Source organism: Homo sapiens, chromosome 2 (genome assembly GCF_000001405.40).
Source record: "Homo sapiens chromosome 2, GRCh38.p14 Primary Assembly".
Classification (NCBI taxonomy): Eukaryota; Metazoa; Chordata; class Mammalia; order Primates; family Hominidae; genus Homo; species Homo sapiens.
The window spans coordinates 233,430,364-233,446,621 of NC_000002.12; the positions used below are offsets into that span (position 1 = coordinate 233,430,364).

The 16,258-nt window shown below is 49.2% G+C and overlaps 1 protein-coding gene across 17 annotated transcripts in view, besides 2 other annotated features; it reads left to right on the plus strand.

The window, feature by feature from the left end:
* DGKD (diacylglycerol kinase delta) overlaps window positions 1-16,258 on the plus strand; it is a 117,605-nt gene that overhangs the window by 75,870 nt on the left and 25,477 nt on the right. For 16 of the 17 annotated variants that reach the window (NM_152879.3, XM_047446097.1, XM_017005138.3 and 13 more), the window contains 8 exons: window positions 4,017-4,121; window positions 4,406-4,538; window positions 5,455-5,561; window positions 5,953-6,078; window positions 7,014-7,116; window positions 7,854-8,016; window positions 11,524-11,632; window positions 15,260-15,399. In NM_152879.3, coding sequence (NP_690618.2) covers window positions 4,017-4,121; window positions 4,406-4,538; window positions 5,455-5,561; window positions 5,953-6,078; window positions 7,014-7,116; window positions 7,854-8,016; window positions 11,524-11,632; window positions 15,260-15,399 — 986 coding nt within the window. Of the gene's footprint in view, window positions 1-4,016; window positions 4,122-4,405; window positions 4,539-5,454; window positions 5,562-5,952; window positions 6,079-7,013; window positions 7,117-7,853; window positions 8,017-11,523; window positions 11,633-15,259; window positions 15,400-16,258 lie in introns of those variants that run through there. The other variant, XM_047446103.1, reaches the window with a different exon arrangement.
* Window positions 13,216-13,325: an enhancer, noted in NCBI's record as "active region_17348". NCBI's record gives its function as "activates an Ori minimal core promoter by ATAC-STARR-seq in GM12878 lymphoblastoid cells {active_cell/tissue: GM12878}" and the evidence as "EXISTENCE:reporter gene assay evidence [ECO:0000049][PMID:35858748]".
* Window positions 13,346-13,395: an enhancer, noted in NCBI's record as "active region_17349". NCBI's record gives its function as "activates an Ori minimal core promoter by ATAC-STARR-seq in GM12878 lymphoblastoid cells {active_cell/tissue: GM12878}" and the evidence as "EXISTENCE:reporter gene assay evidence [ECO:0000049][PMID:35858748]".

Sequence of the window (16,258 nt, forward strand, 5' to 3'; positions counted from 1 at the left end):
TACAGTGGAGTACTGTGCCACTGTTGAAAGAATGAGGAAGCCCTGGATATTGCTAAGGAGTGATGGCCGGGATATGTAATTAAATGGAAAGGCAAAGGTGGAGAAAAGTGTCCATGCTACTGTTGACAAAAGGGACAATGTGATATACATGTTTGCATGTATCTTAAAAATGGAAGGAGAAACCTTACTTTCTCTCTCTCTTTTTTGGTAAAGCAGCCTATGGGAACCAAGATAGGGGAGAGATATAAAAGCTAGATTTCTAAATCTACCTTGTTTGTAGATTTGACTTTGGAACTCCATCGCTATATTATAATCATTATAAAACAAAATTAAGTAAAAGGTTATGACCCTTGAAAATTTTGATATACACTATCAATTTTTTCTCTAAAAAGTTTATACCCTGTTTACCTCCTGTCAGTACTTGAGGAGAACTCTTTTTCCCCCACATGTTTGTCAGTACTGGATAGTCATCTTTTAAAACTTTGCCAATCCCATGGGCAAAAAATAGATTGCTATTTTCATTTGCATTCTCTGATGACTAGAGTGATTAAGCAGCTTTTTACTTGCTTATTATCCATTTTGTATTTCTTCTGTGAGGAAGTCCAAGCTAGAGCAATCAAACAACAACAAAAAAAGAAATAAAGGGTATCCAAATTGGAAAGGAAGAAGTCAGATTATCCTTGTTTGCAGATGATGTGATCTTATATTTGGAAAAGCCTAAAGACCCCACCAAAAAAACTATTAAAACTGATAAATTCAGTAGAGTTGCAGGATCCAAAATCAACATGCAAAACTCAGTAGCATTTCTGTATGTACCAACAGTGCACAATCTGCAAAAGAAATCAAGAAAGTAATCCCATTTACAGTAGTTGCAAATAAAATAAAATACCTAAGAATTAACTGAAGAAGTGAGAGATTTCTACAATGAATACTACAAAACATTGATGCAAGAAATGGAAGAGAACACACAAAAAATGGAAAGATACTCCACGTTCATGGACTGGAAGAATCAACATTGTGAAAATGTTCGTATTACCCAAAGCAGTCTACAGATTCAATGCAATTCCTATTAAAATACCAATGACATTCTTCACAGAAATGGAAAAAATAATTCTAAAATTTATATGGATCCAGAATAGCCAAAAGACCCAGAATAGCCAAAATTCTCCTGATGAAAAATTGGAGGAATCACATTTTCTGACTTCACATTATACTACAGAGCTATACTAACCCAAACGGCGTGGTACTGGCATAAAAACAGACACAGAACAATGGAACAGAATAGAGAGCCCAGAAATAAATTCATACATCCACAGTGAACACATTTTTGACAAACGTACCAAGAACATATACTGAGGAAAGGACAGTCTCTTCAATAAATGGTGCTGGGAAAACTGGTTATCCATATGCAGAAGAATGAAACTAGACTCCCATTTATTGCCATATGCAAATATCAAATCAAAATGGATTAAAGACTTTAAGACCTCAAACTATGAAACTGTGAAAACACTGGGGAAACTTTCTAGGACGTTGGACTGGGCAAAGGTTTCTTGAGTAATTCCCACAAGCACAGGCAACCAAAGCAAAAAGTGGACAAATGGTTAAAGCTCCTGCATTAGCAATGCAGGAAAAAAGCAGTGAAAAAAAGCTCCTGTTTTTAACAAGTTAAAAAGTTCCTGCACAGCAAAGGAAACAGTCAACAAAGTGAGGAGACAGCCTACAGAATGGGAGAAAATATTTGCAAACTGCCAGGCGTGGTGGCTCATGCCTGTAATCCCAGCACTTTGGGAGGCCAAGGTGGGCGGATCACGAGGTCAGGAGATCGTGACCATCCTGGCTAACACGGTGAAACCTCGTCTCTATTAAAAATACAAAAAATTAGCCAGGCGTGGTTGCTCACGCCTGTAATCCCAGCACTTTGGGAGGCCAAGGTGGGCGGATCATGAGGTCAGGAGATTGTGACCCTCCTGGCTAACATGGTGAAACCTCGTCTCTACTAAAAATACAAAAAATTAGCCGGGCGTGGTTGCTCACGCCTGTAATCCCAGCACTTTGGAAGGCCAAGGTGGGCAGATCATGAGGTCAGGAGATCGTGACCATCCTGGCTAACACAGTGAAACCTCGTCTCTACTAAAAATACAAAAAATTAGCTGGGTGTGGTGGCGGGCGCCTGTAGTCCCAGCTACTCGGGAGGCTGAGGCAGGAGAATGGCATGAACCCAAGAGGCGGAGTTTGCAGTGAGCGGAGATTGCGCCACTGCACACCAGCCTGGGGGACAGAGTGAGGCTCCGTCTCAAAAAAACAAAACAAAACAAAACAAAAATTGAAAACTATTCCTCTGACAAGGGATTATAACCAGAATAAATCGAGAGCTCAAATAATTCAAAAGGGGAAAAATCTAATCATCCAGTTAAAAAATAGGAAAAGTAGACATTTCTCAAAAGAAGACATACATATGGCAAGTAGGTATATGAAAAAGTGCTCAATATCATTGATCATCAGAGAAATGCAAATAAAAATTACAATGAGATAATGTCTTACCCCAGTTACAATGACTTTTATCCAAAAGACAGGCAATAACAAATGCTGGCGAGGATGTGGAGAAAAGGGAACCGTACACTGCTGGTAGGATTGTAAATTAGCACAGCCACCATGGAGAACAGTTTGGAGGTTCCTCAAAAAAGTCAAAATACAATTACCGTGTGATCCAGCAATCCCACTGCTAGGTATATACCAAAGAGAAAGGAAATCAGTGTATCGAAGAGATGTCTGCACTCATGTGATTATAGCAGCACTATTCACAATAGCCAAGATTTGGAAGCAACCTAAGTGTTCATCAACAGACACATGGATAAAGAAAATGTACATATACACATGGAGTACTATTTAGCCATGAAAAAGAATGAGATCCTGTCATTTGCCACAACATGGATGGAACAGGAGGACCCTTAATGTTAAGTGAAGTAAGCCAAGCACAGAAAGACAAACTTCACATGTTCTTATTTGTGGGAGCTAATAAAAAAAAAAAGAAAACAGTTGAACTAATGGAGATAGGCAGTAGATTGATGGTTACCAGAGGCTGGGAAGGGTAGTGGGGCTGGGGGGATGGTTAATAGGTACAAAAATGTAGTTAGAATAAACGAGATCTAGTATTTGATAGCACAACGGGGTGACAACAGTTAATAATTTGCTGTACATTTAAAAATAACTCAGAGTATACTTGGATTGTTTATAACACAGAGAAAGGATAAATCCTTGAGGCAATGGATACCCCATTTACTCTGTGATTATTCTGTGCCTGTATTAGAGTGTCTCATATGCCCCATAAATACATATACCTACCATGTACCCACAAAAAAAATTAAAAAGAACGTTGATGTATTTCTTTTGTGAAATGCAAGTTCATAGCCTTTTTTATATCAGGAAGATTTTTTTTCTACTGATTGATAAGAACCCTTTATATATTATGGATATCATTTTCATTTGTTGATTATTACCAGGTCACAGCTTTATTTCCAGTCAAGTTGTTCAGGTCCTGCATAGTCTGATATTGAGGTTTTCTACAAGAACATTTATATGTGATACATGCTCATGGTATTCCAGACTTACAGCTGAGCAGACTTCCCTCAACTGTTCAAATGCTGGCCATCACTGTGGGCTCCCTGAAGCAGTAGCAACTGTGTCTTCCACTGTTCGGAAAACAACAGTTGTTACTTCTTTTTTTATTTCCTTAGGGTTTACTACTGTGTCTAAGTAGCAAGCAATTATAAATGTCCACTTAAATTGATTGCTGATGAATATATAAAAACTAAATTTCACTGTCTTTTTGGTTTGAGATCATTCTTATTTTTAATTTTTAGTGATCCTTGATAACCATTTTTGTTTTCGGTTCAGTGTGAATACCTGAATGAAATAGTAATTTTTATGTCTGTGTGAGGTCGGTTTTAAGAAAGCGTTCATAGCTATCAGCACTTGCCTTTTGTTCATGGATCTGTTGAACCTGTTTCTTTCTCTAGGTCATAACTCCATGCAGGAAGCTCATCTTGTGTGCTGATAACAGAAAAGAAATGGAAGATTGGATTGCAGCATTAAAGACTGTGCAGAACAGGGAGCACTTTGAGGTTAAAAAAGAAAATACCCTTCTCCAAATGCCTCCTGTTGCCTCCCTCACCCCAGTGTCTGCTGTCTGAGTGTCTCCCACGTGCGGACCCACAGTCTGGAGCTCACGTTCTTAGCATGTTCTTTATACAATTAAAGCTTATTGCTTGTCCTCTCAGCAGACCTGTCCTTTATAAACCTTCCTCCTCTCCTCTCTTGGATACTTTGTTTAATCTTGTCCAAGTTACTGCATTTAACAATTTAAAAGAGAAGTCTTATCTTTGCCCTCTTGGTTTCGTTCTTCCAGCCCACCCAGTACAGCATGGACCACTTCTCAGGGATGCACAATTGGTACGCCTGTTCCCACGCGAGGCCGACCTACTGCAATGTGTGCCGTGAGGCTCTGTCTGGGGTCACGTCGCACGGGCTGTCCTGCGAGGGTACGGATGTGCGTTTGTTATTCTGTCAGGAAAGGTGGCCTGGCATTTTACTTGATAAAGCCTTGGAAATCCAAACCCAGTCACCATAAATAAGCCGTTGTCACCCATGTGGTCAGTCAAGGGCACAGCGATTTCTGTGATGCCATTCTTGTTTATTTTACCTGCCGAAGAGTCCTTGATAAATCATTTTTTATAGTGCTCAGAGTGAAAAGGGAAGTGGTGGGTGGCAAAAGGAGAAATGGGAAATCTAGAGCACACAGAGGGAAAGGCACTGAAGGAACAGTGGTCGGCCCCTGTGTCTCACACTCTGCAGCCGGGGAAACGGGGCTGTGCATATATGGACTGAAAGTGTGTTACAGACTTAGAGGTCAGGGCTGCAGGGTTTGGGCAAGGGCATTCAGTCTGGTGGCAAAGCAGTGGGCTAGAGCAGGGCTTGTTAGCTATAGCCTGGACCACACCCTGCCTCTGCCTGTTTTTGTACAGCTCCCACGCTTCAGACTGGCTTTTAAATTTTTAAATGATTGGAAAAAATCAAAAGAAGAATCATATTTTGTGACACATGAAAATTACATGAAATTCAAATTTGTGCCCGTAAAAAAACATTGTCTCTGGCTGCTTTTGTGCTACATGACAGAGTTGATTAGTGGTGACGGAAGCTGGTTGCGACCTGCAGAGTCTCCACTGCTCACTCTCTGGCCTGTTACAGAAAGCTTACTGATCCCCAGCTTTCCCTGCCGCTGCCGGTCCCACCGCCATCAGCCTCTAAGCGTATCACAGTAGTTCACTTATAAAATGGGAGTGCCATTGGTTCCTTCCTTGACTTTTCTGGAGCTGGACGGTTCTCACAACACTGCTCAGCATGGGAAGCTCTTGGCACAGACACAGCTTGTAGGCTCATGTGCCCCTTCTCTCACAGTGTGCAAATTTAAGGCCCACAAGCGCTGTGCTGTGCGTGCAACCAATAACTGCAAGTGGACCACACTGGCCTCGATCGGGAAGGACATCATTGAAGATGCAGATGGGGTATGTTAAGAAATACCACCTGTGGGGCCCTGAGCCAGGGTCCCCCACCTGCACGGCCCCATGCAAGCCTCCTCCCTGCCCTCCCTGCCACTGTTTCATTTGAGATGGTCACACTGGCATTGGGTGGCACAGTGGAAATTATATGCGGTCTCCGTGTGGTTGTCGCACCCCCGAGCTCCATCCTGTCCCTGTGAGTCTTGTTTGCACCTCCGACAGGTGCTATGGGTAGATGGTACTTCACAGGCCCTGCCATCCCTTCCCTCACTGGCCATCAGGGAAGGAGCTTGTTCTGGGAAGAATGCCTTGGCTGAGTTCACAACGAGCATTTCCTGGCTGCCCTGGACGTGGAACCTTGGGAGCGTCCCTAGTGCGTGCCTCTGTTTGGTTGCAGATTGCAATGCCCCACCAGTGGTTGGAAGGAAACCTACCTGTGAGCGCCAAGTGCACTGTGTGCGACAAGACCTGTGGCAGTGTGCTGCGCCTGCAGGACTGGCGCTGCCTCTGGTGCAAGGCCATGGTGAGTGTGGGCCCTGCGCCCGGGCTGGAGGGGAGGGCTTGCTCCCTACCGTGCCCATGCGGGCCTTGCGGCTCCGCATGATCTGCTGGATCCTGGTAAATTAATCCCAGAGGCCCCTCCGGCTGAGAGTGGGTTTTTGAACTGTTGGGTCATTCTCCTTCTTAGCTATGTTTTGGGGTATTTCTTCCTTTTGCATTTATTCCTGTCTTTAGACATATGCAGATGTGTATTGTTATGACAGATGTCACCCTGCATCATGCGGCACTGTAGCCGGGTTGTGAGGGGTCACCTGGGACAATTGAGCTGGCCGCCTCTGTGGTGTGGAAGCAGGAAAGCTGTAGAGGCCATTTGGAGCGGCGTTGGCTCTGGGCAGTGTTGACAGTGAGCACAGCCATGTGGAAGGGGTGCAGCCCAGTGGCCTCCTGCCAGGTCCTGGGTCTCATCGTTGCTCTGGGTGGTGAGATGTGCTTCCAGGGAGAGACTCAGGGAGCCTCCATGTACTTGCTTCTGGGTTGGTCATTGTGAAGTGGCTGCTGCAGTCACTTGCCTAGCACATCTGGCTGCCAGGAGGAAGCCAAGACACAGGGGACACATAGAGGCACATGGCCCCAGGAGCCCTCACCCTCGTCCTGAAAGTTTGAGGTAGCTGTGGTCGAAGGGCCAGAAGGTTGGGTACAGGACTGTAGCTCACACGGTGTGAAGCATGACTGGCTCCTGCCGGGTATTTCCGTGTTATGCCTTCTCAAGTGCAAAGCCAGGGCCCAGGGCCCCCGATGATAGCAGGCCGGCCCAGGGCCCCTGATGGTAGCAGGCCAGCCCAGCTCTGAAATCACCTGCCTCCCCCGAGGCCAGCTCATCAGCTACAGGGCAGGAGGATTTCTGGTGTGTGTGAAGGATGCCAGTGACCCTTGGTGACGCGGGGACTCTTGTTTCAGGTTCACACATCGTGTAAAGAATCCTTGCTGACCAAGTGCCCACTTGGCCTGTGCAAAGTGTCAGTCATCCCACCCACGGCTCTCAACAGCATCGACTCCGATGGTGGGTACCACACATGCTTATCCTTCTCATGCACGCCCACACGCTTCCTTCTCCACGCACTTTCTCTTCTCCAGCTCTGGAGTTGGTTATCTTGGTGAGATGTCAGCAAGAGGTCAGGCACAGCTGTTGGGGGTGCTGGAGGAGTTGCACAGAGCGGCACACGGCGCCCTGATGCTGCGGCATTGCCCTTAGATGGGCCAGAGACCCAAGCCTGGCACTTGACGTGGAGGTGATGCTGTTGAGTGGCACCCAGGCTTAGACAGGCCTGAGACCCGAGCCTGGCACTTGACGTGGAGGTGATGCTGTTGAGTGCAACCCAGGTCTGGGGCCTTCTCCGTCATGAGCCATTGAAGCTGTGCCCCATCTCTGCCTAGCACATGCTGGCACACTGGCTTGCAGCTGCTCTCATGTCTGGCTGGGACATGGTGGCACCTGTTGACAAGTACTGGTGGAAAGGGGGATGTGGGGTACATGGCTCAGAGGAGATCAAGAAGAGAAGACAGCAGAAAGGTGGCATTTGGACAGCTTGTGAATGTGGAGGTCAGATGGATGGGGCTCCCGGCCTCACACATGGAGACCGGCTGTGGGGAACTGTTCACTGACCTCCTCCTGACTTACAGGTGTGCATGTGTCAGGTGTGTGTCCTTTGGGGGGGTCTGCTGCTGCTGATTCCATCAGTGGTGCCCTCAGCGTCTTCCGTGGCCTATATATTTTCTTCTGTTCGTTCTTGCGTCCAGGGTTCTGGAAGGCCAGCTGTCCTCCTTCTTGCACAAGCCCACTGTTGGTCTTCGTCAATTCAAAAAGTGGGGACAACCAGGGTGTGAAGTTCCTCAGAAGATTCAAACAGCTACTAAACCCCGCCCAGGTCTTCGACCTCATGAACGGAGGCCCACACCTCGGGTAGGAAGCTTGTAAAATATATCTTTCTTGGAGTTTTAAAAATTGTGTAGATAGTGTGTGCTTGTTAAAAAAAAAAAGTTCAAAGACACAAAGCTTTAAATAGGAAAGAAAAGTTGAACTGCTTCCTTCCCAAATTGCACTTGCAGAGGTGCCCACTCTTAATAGAGGTGCATGGCCTTCCAACTTTGAACACAGTGCGCGTGTGCACACACGTACATACATCCATGTACACACACCCATGCACGTGCATCTTTTGAGCCAATCAGGATTCTTCTTTACCTGCCGTTGCACAAATGCCTTCTGTATGTGTCTGCATACAACGTTGTGGGTGTATTTTCTTTCATTTTATAATTTTTTATTTATCTGTCTATCTATCATCTATCTATCTATCTATCTATCTATCTATCTATCTATCTATCTATCTATCTATCTATCTGTGGGTGTATTTTCCTGGCGTGCCTCGTTCTTTGTAACAGCTGCCTAACATTGAGGAAGAAGCTGTCCTGCAGCGAGGCCAGGAGGAGTGTTTGCTGAGAGGCACAGGAGGCCGCTCGGTGTGCAGGTGCTGCAAGGCAGGAACACGTAAGGGCGGCGTTGGGCCAGAGCGATTTCCACTGTGCATCAGCAGCACAGAGATTAGACTGTTCCTCTGCTTGCTGGAGAGCCATGTGTGTTCTTTGTAGTTTTTTACTTTTCATAAGTTTGTAGAAAACATTTGCCTTTGTGAATTTTGCCATTTGAATGAATTTCTTCCTCTGGAAGCATCAGTTCCAGGTCGGAGCTCTAAGAGGACTTGCTGGCACTGCCGGAGATGTCCAGGATACCCGTAGTGGGAAGTGCCTGCAGAGCCTGTGGTCTGGCCTGTATTTCTCTGGGAGGAGTCAGTGGGGTCTGTGTATTAGGAGCCAGGGGCTACTCTGATGTGAACCTCGGCCAGCTCCCTGCGTGTCCTTGGCGTACATGCCAGGGTAAGAGGAACATGCTGCTCGTCGTTGGTCCTGTGGGTGTCTTCTGTGTTGCTCATCCCCACTCACAGCCAGGCGCAGTCGGAGAGCAGTCACAGATGGCAGCATTCCAGCCTGCTTCCGCAAAGGCAGTACTCCCACATTTTCTGTAGAAAGACTTCTTATCTGAATGGTGGAGGATTGCATTCACTAGTAGGCTGATCAAGATATTTTAATTTTAATTTTACTGTTTTTTGAGACAAGAGTCTTGCTAGGTTACCCAGGCTGAGTACACTGGTGCAATCCTGGCTCACAGCAGCCTCAACCTCCTGGGCTCAAACCACCCTCCTGCCTTAGCCTCCTGAGTAGCTGGGACTACAGGTGTGTACCACTATGCCCAGCTAATTTTTTTTTTTTATGTTTTGTTGAGCCTCACAAAACTTTTAAAATGTTTTGTAGAGTGGTCTCACTGTGTTGTCCAGGTTGGTTTCAAACTCCTGGAGCCAAATGATCCTCTTGCCTCAGCCTCTCAAGAGTGTTGGATTACACTGCCTGGCAAAGAAATAATTTTAGTTAAAAAGTGGGGAAAGTGGAGATATAATACGTCTGTTATCACAATGCACCAAGCAGGCTGAGGTTGTTATTAAACATGGTACCAGGGGTGTTGGAGGAATGCTGTGAAATGGCTGTGGGCAGGGCAGGTTACACAGCTGAACTCGAGAATAACGAAATATTCATTTTGGTGTGCAAGCAAAACCCCATGTTTCGTAGTGGGAGTTAAGTATGAGATGGGATGATTTAGGAAGCCCCCACAGCGGCGTAAGGGGAGTTGAGTCGTCATTTACCATTTCTGGAAGCAGCTCATCTCACACAGCTCACAGCAGAATCTGGAGCTACTGCTTCATGTTCCAGTTCCTGGCCTTGACCTGTCACCTCTTCTCCCGAGAGCAGGGGGCCTTACAGGTGTCAGTGTTCTGTGTGGAGCCTGGGCTTGGTGCCGCATCACCTATGCCTGTCTGTCTTCTGAGCACTCATTCTGGGTCAGACACTGAGCTCGAGGCAGGGTGCGCAGGTGAGCCAGGCGGGGAGTGCAGATGCAGGGAATGGGTAGGAGCACACGCAGGGTCCCCCGGCACTTCAGTGGGGGTGACACAGCTTCTCTGGGAACCCGGTGGGGGCAGGGTCGCAAGTCAAACTGGGCGTCCTTCCACGTCTCCCCGAGCTGGCATCCGAGGAGCTCTAGTGTTCTGAAGGCTGCAGGGAGGCGGGAGGCTTCTGGGCTGAGGGCACCGCTTGTGCAGAGGCGAGGCAAGAGGGAATGCAGTGGGGCCAGGCCAGGCAGCAGCAGAAAGGTGGCACCTGCCGTCAGGGAGGGCTGCGGGTGCTGGCCAAGAGGTTCGACTCCTTCCTGCAAATGAGGGGCAGCCTCATAAAGCAAGGCCCGTGGCCAGGCTCGTGTTTTAGAAAGGTCTTCCTGGAACTCATGGGGAGCTTTCAGGAAGGGTGTCAAGGTGACTGAGGCTCCTGTGGGACTCTGCGAGAGCACGGTGGTGACCTGAGCGGGTGGCTGGGTTGGGTGTGGAGGAGAGGCTGCCAGGAGGGGCTGGGTCGGCTGCAGGCTGAGAGGAGGTGGGTCTGGCCTCTGGACTGGGTTGGTGGTCGAGCTACCATTCTCCGAGTAGGGATGTGTCCTGTTGGATGTGCCCTGGGATACCAGAGTGGTGTGTTCTGGAGGACAGGTGCAAGTGTTGGCTTTCAGGAGTGGCCTGGGGGCTGTTGATCCAGAGTCACCTGTGTGGTCCTTGAAACTGGATGTGGTCACACAGGAAGAGGATGAGGAGTGAGCAGAAGCGGCACTGGTCTCCTGAGTGGGGACGCTGCTGGGCAGGGGCAGGGGGAGCCCAGGAAGGAAGGAAACCGAGGAGTTAGGAGGGTAGGAGGCGTGGGTCACATCACCGGAGGACTGAGTGGGCCCAGGCATATGTGCTGCAGTGGGGACACGCAGCCCGCAGCAGGTCAGGCAGCCTGGGGCTCCAGGGTGACCAGAACAAGGGCCAGGGCGGAAGCCAGACTGTGGCCCAGGGCCGGGGAGTGCCAAGACTGAGGGTGCAGGGTGATGCAGGCAGCCCAGAGGGCATGCTGGGAAGGCTGGCAGGGGCCACATGTGGATGGGGCAGGGACAGTGACGCAGGGTGGGCTCACATGGTTAGGGGCCACGGCAGGCTGTGCCCGTGAGCCTGGCAGGGGATGCAGTTTTGGCCCACCACTTTGCCTGTGATGTCTGCAGAGCGTGCAGTGGCTCACCAAGCTGAGTGGTCTTGTCGCTGGGTGGGGCGTGGCTGGTGGGAGCAGTTGGCTGGACCCCAGTGCTGCTGTCGTCCCTTTGACAAAGTGGACCCTGAGTGGAGGCGGCTGGTGTCACGTGGCAGGGCCTGTGCGTGCTCTGCCTCTGGTGCAGGTCAGCCATGAGGAGCACAGGTGGCCCCTCAGCCCCGTACTGACAAGCCTGTCATTTGTCCTGTGGAATGGATGTCATTTCACGGCCTTTCTCTTTTCTCTGCAGCTTACGGTTATTCCAGAAGTTTGACACATTCCGGATTCTGGTTTGTGGCGGGGATGGAAGTGTTGGCTGGGTCCTCTCCGAAATCGACAGCCTCAACCTTCATAAACAGGTACCAGGACAGGAGGGAGCCCAGCCAGGAGCAGAGAGGGTGCGGAGGTTAGAGGGAAATCATGCAGTCTCAGCTCCTGTTCATCTCGGAGCACCTGTTCTCAGGCCAGAAACCATTGGTGGTTTTGGGGAGTGTGCAGTTTGGTGGCCAGGGCAGAGAGGGGAGAGCCTGGGCCACCCCCTGGCATTGTGGAGGCCCGGGGGCTCTGGCCATGATGTATGAGGGGGACCTGAAGGGAGCTACGAAAAGAATTGCCCACAAAGGACCCACATGGGGAGCAGGGCTGGGTGGGGCTGTTGCTTTACTGGGTAATTTTTGTCTTGAGGCCTCTTGCTTGTGAGAAGGGGACGGCAGTATACTTGAGTTTCTCAAGTCAGAGTCATGGTTCATTGGACTTAGTTTTTTGTATTAAAATAAAAATAGATTTTCCTGATTGTGTATAAAAATGTTCATATAGTCATTTAATTTCCACACCAAGCCACGGCCTCCCCAGGTGATCAGCCAGTGCCAACATTTTGCTGTCTCTGACCTCTCTTGATCACAGTACATACAATGCACAGTGCACTTGTAATTTAAACGGGCTATTCTGTTACTGCTTTTGTTGTTGTTGTTTTTGTTTTTGTTTTTTTGAGGTGGAGTCTTGCTCTGTTGCTGGGCTGGAGTGCAGTGGTGCGATCTCGGCTCACTACAACCTCTGCCTCCCCGGTTCAAGTGATTCTCCTGCCTCAGCCTCCTAAATAGCTGGGATTACAGGCGCACGCTACCACGCCCAGCTAATTTTTGTATTTTTAGTAGAGACAGGGTTTCTCCATGTTGGCCAGGATGGTCTCGATCTCTTGACCTCATGATCCGCCCACCTTGGCCTCCCAAAGTGCTGGGATTACAGGCATGAGCCACCGCGCCCGGCCTGTTACTGCTTTTAAAAAACCACTAATTAAGATGTTGCAGACACCTTGTGCCTGTGTCTGTAAGTAGGCATCTGTGTGTCGTTTTCCACTGGACACACCCGGGAGCCCAGGGCCAGCTCACCTCCATGTGTGAGCACGGAGATCACTTCCCAGTGGTCTCCTCTCTGAGCGCACCCAAGCTTAAGTATTGAAATGTGCTGACAAACTGCCTTTCCTCAGGGCTGTGCCAGCTTCCATGCCTGATGCCTTTAAAGCTGTCTTTCCCCGTGCACCATCCAAGCTGTTCATCTCTTTAGTTTTTGTCCAGCTAAGTAGACCAAAAAATGTCTGACCTTTACTTCTTTAATTCCTGGTGAAGTTGAACGCCTCCTCAGTTGGTTATGAAGTTTTAAATAAATCACCTGTTCATATTTTTTTTTGCCTCATTTTCTCTTTGAGTATTCACCTTTTTTTCCTTTAAAAATGGGTGTGTGAGGATTATTGTTACATTAACTTCTTATCTGTCACTGCAGATATTTTTTTCCCGGTTTGTCGTTTGTCAGTTCAACATCCTTTTTGGGGGGTGGTCTTTTCTTTCATGATTTTTGTCAACGTCTGTCATATTTGCAGCTGCCTACACCCCAAGATTAAGATTTGCATCTGTATTTTCTTATGTTTATTATGGCCCCATTTTTAAAAAATTCAGTCTTCTGTGTGACGTGGATGTATTTTTCAGTGATTCTGTGGTGCCTACCCAGCTCTGCTCACTTGGTAGTATTTCCAGGTGGGTGGATTTGACAGCTCGGGCCGTGAGGCCAGTGGCTCAGGAGGAGAAGTGGTGCCGCCTGCTGGTGGATTAGCATAGACTACTCTAATTTTTGATTTTGTGTATTACTTGCAAGTTCACTGTCACTAGTTAGGAAGACAGTGGAACCTTGTGGCTGATTTTCATACGTTCAGCCAAGGTCAGCACACATTTCTCTCCCCTGCGTCTCTTTGACACCTGATGTGGTGGCCATGCCTTCGCTGGGCCCCTGCCGCCTCGGGGTTTCTTGTCTTCCTGGCTGCTACTGCTCCATGGTGGCCTCTCCCTCCTTACCCTTCCCTTAACGCTGTGTCCTCAGAGCCTTGCTGGGGCCTCTCCTCCTTCGCTTTTGAACGCTCAGCGACTTGCAGGGCTTCTGCTGTCGTCTCTCTCCTGGGGGCGCCTCAATTGATAGCTGAGCCTTGGGCCTCTCTGGATGTCTCCTAGTGCCTCGAGTTTCCAACACTACACCACGTTCAGCCCCCACCCTGCGTTCCTTTCCTTCGAGTCTGAAAACATCATCCATCTAGATGTCTGAGCCAGGAAATCGGACAGTTGTTCTTGGTTCGTCCGTCTCTTCCTCCTGCCTGTTTCTCACTAATTGTGTCCTCAGTCCTGCCACCCACAGTACCCTGGCCTCTGTCCATCTGCAGCTCACCCAGGCGACCTTTCCCGGGGCATTTCTGCCTGTGCACCCCCCAAGCACGATGCTTCTGGGAAAAGTCCAGACCTTTAAGAGTCCCAGCTTTGCCTCCTGCTTGCTTCTCTGCCTGTCTGCCTCCTGTTTCCTCGCTGTCCTCCTCTTCACTGAGCTCTGCCTTGCCCCCTCCCAGTGGTGTCTCCCTGCCTGGAGCACCATCCATGCCTGCTGTGCGCTGCTCTCCTTTTCCTTTAAGGCTCCAGGAAGCCCTCGCGGAGTCCTCAGACCCTCTGGGCACCCTTCAGCACTGGGTTCTCTCCATCTAGTGTGTCGGCTCCGGTGTCCTGGCCTGCTCGCTCCTGCCTCCCCTACTGCCAAATGTCCCCTTGGTGAGGCAGGACCTTCCCTGGTGTTTGCTGTCCCCACAGGCGGCAGGGCCTCAAGCATGGTCACCTCCACCTGGTGGGCAGAGGGCTGTACGGTGCTGTAGGCTGGACCACGGCAGGTTTCCTGCCTCAAGGACAGTAACGCCTCCCCACACACTCCACCGCAGCCTTCATGGCCCTGGTCACTCTGTTGTCAGAGTCAAAGGCTGGTGAGCTCTGGGCAGTGGGCATTTTAAGAGGCCTCCTAAGCAATGGAATGGTGTAGTGGGATCTCATTGGAGCTCTGAAATGGGAATCCAGGTGGAGGGTGAGGCCTGAGTAATGCATGAGGTCTCTTCCTGGAACAGCAGGCAGGCGGGCAGAGGCTGAGCTCTGGCAAGGCTCCAGGGTAGCCTCCAGACTGAGGATGGTCCTGGCACCTTTTTTGGATAGGATTTAGAGGAGAGAAGTGATACTAGTGATGTTTTTGGAAGAAGAATTTGGCATTAGTGAGTGAGATGCTGTAGTGGATGGAGGGACGGGTGGCGAGGCATCAGAGTGATTCCTTGGGGCTGTGGTCACGGTGGTGAAAATGGGAAGCAGAGGGATTTGGGAGACAGATCAGAGAGGGTGTGAGGGGCTGACCATCAAGATGTGATGACAGCTGAGAGATGGACCTGTGGCTCATCCATTTCTCCCAGAAGCAGCATCTTATCTCAAGGGCAGTCATGTTTCTGTCTCATTGCCAAGGAAAATGCCATCTGTCCCCTCCAGTGGGCTCTGCCTGTAATGTGTAAGCTGCGTGGTTTTAGGTCACGTCCCCACATTGCTAACGTAACCCTCACGGTGGGGGACAAGGAGGGCTGCGGGCTGGGAAGTGGCCCCTGCCCCCAGGTGTTTGCCTGCGCATCGTCCCCCATGTTTCCTTAGTGTCAGCTGGGAGTGCTGCCGCTCGGCACAGGGAACGACTTGGCCCGAGTACTGGGCTGGGGCTCAGCCTGCGATGACGACACCCAGCTCCCCCAGATCTTGGAGAAGTTGGAGAGAGCCAGCACCAAGATGCTGGACAGGTGAGTGGGGATGTGCTCCGGTGCCGTATGAGGAGACTTTGAGAGACAGGTCCCTTTGACCAGGTGTTCTTAACCTGGGGTCTGTGGAAAACATGGGCCCTCTGAAATTATTTGTAAAGATTTGACCTGAGTATATATTCGGATAGTCTTTGATATTTGGTCAGATTATGACAAGGATAAAAACAAAACAGGTTAAGAACCAGCCATGCCCTAGGATGATCCAGTCTTCCCAGAAGGCCAAGCCTGAGTGTGTCAGGGCCGTGGAGAAGGCAGCTGTGCCATCTTTGGCTGCTTCAGCCCGAGATCTAATACCCATCGGAAGAATGCTCCTTGTCGTTTACTTGAACAGTTTCATTTTCTCATATTCTGTTCCCAGAAGAAGTTTTGGGAAATTATCCTCTAGTGCCTAAAGCCACTGTGACACCTTCCCTGAGTAAGGTACTGTTGTCCCGAGTGACACACTTGGCACTCACTGACCACATGCCTGTGGCACATGGGGTGCTGATGAGATGCCTCCTAGCCTTCCTAGTTGCTCCCAGAAGCCTGGAGTTCTGAGCACAGTTGTGGTTTTGCAATGCCCCCACCATTTCAGGCCTCCTCTGTGTGCCTTGGGGCCTGTGAAATGCTCATCTCACTGGGCCAGCTGGCTGAGCCATTTGCAGCTCTCTTGAGGAGGGTAAATCCATTTCTCCCAGAAGCAGCATCTTATCTCAAGGTAGCCATTTATGGGAGACCTTCCTCTCTTTATGGAGCTGTACTGCCGTTAGTTGTGGAGTGCAGACATTTGTTCTCAGCCAAGTTATGGGACAGAGTCAAGACCAAGGGCCTAAAAATGAAGTCAGAAACGGTGTAAAGATCA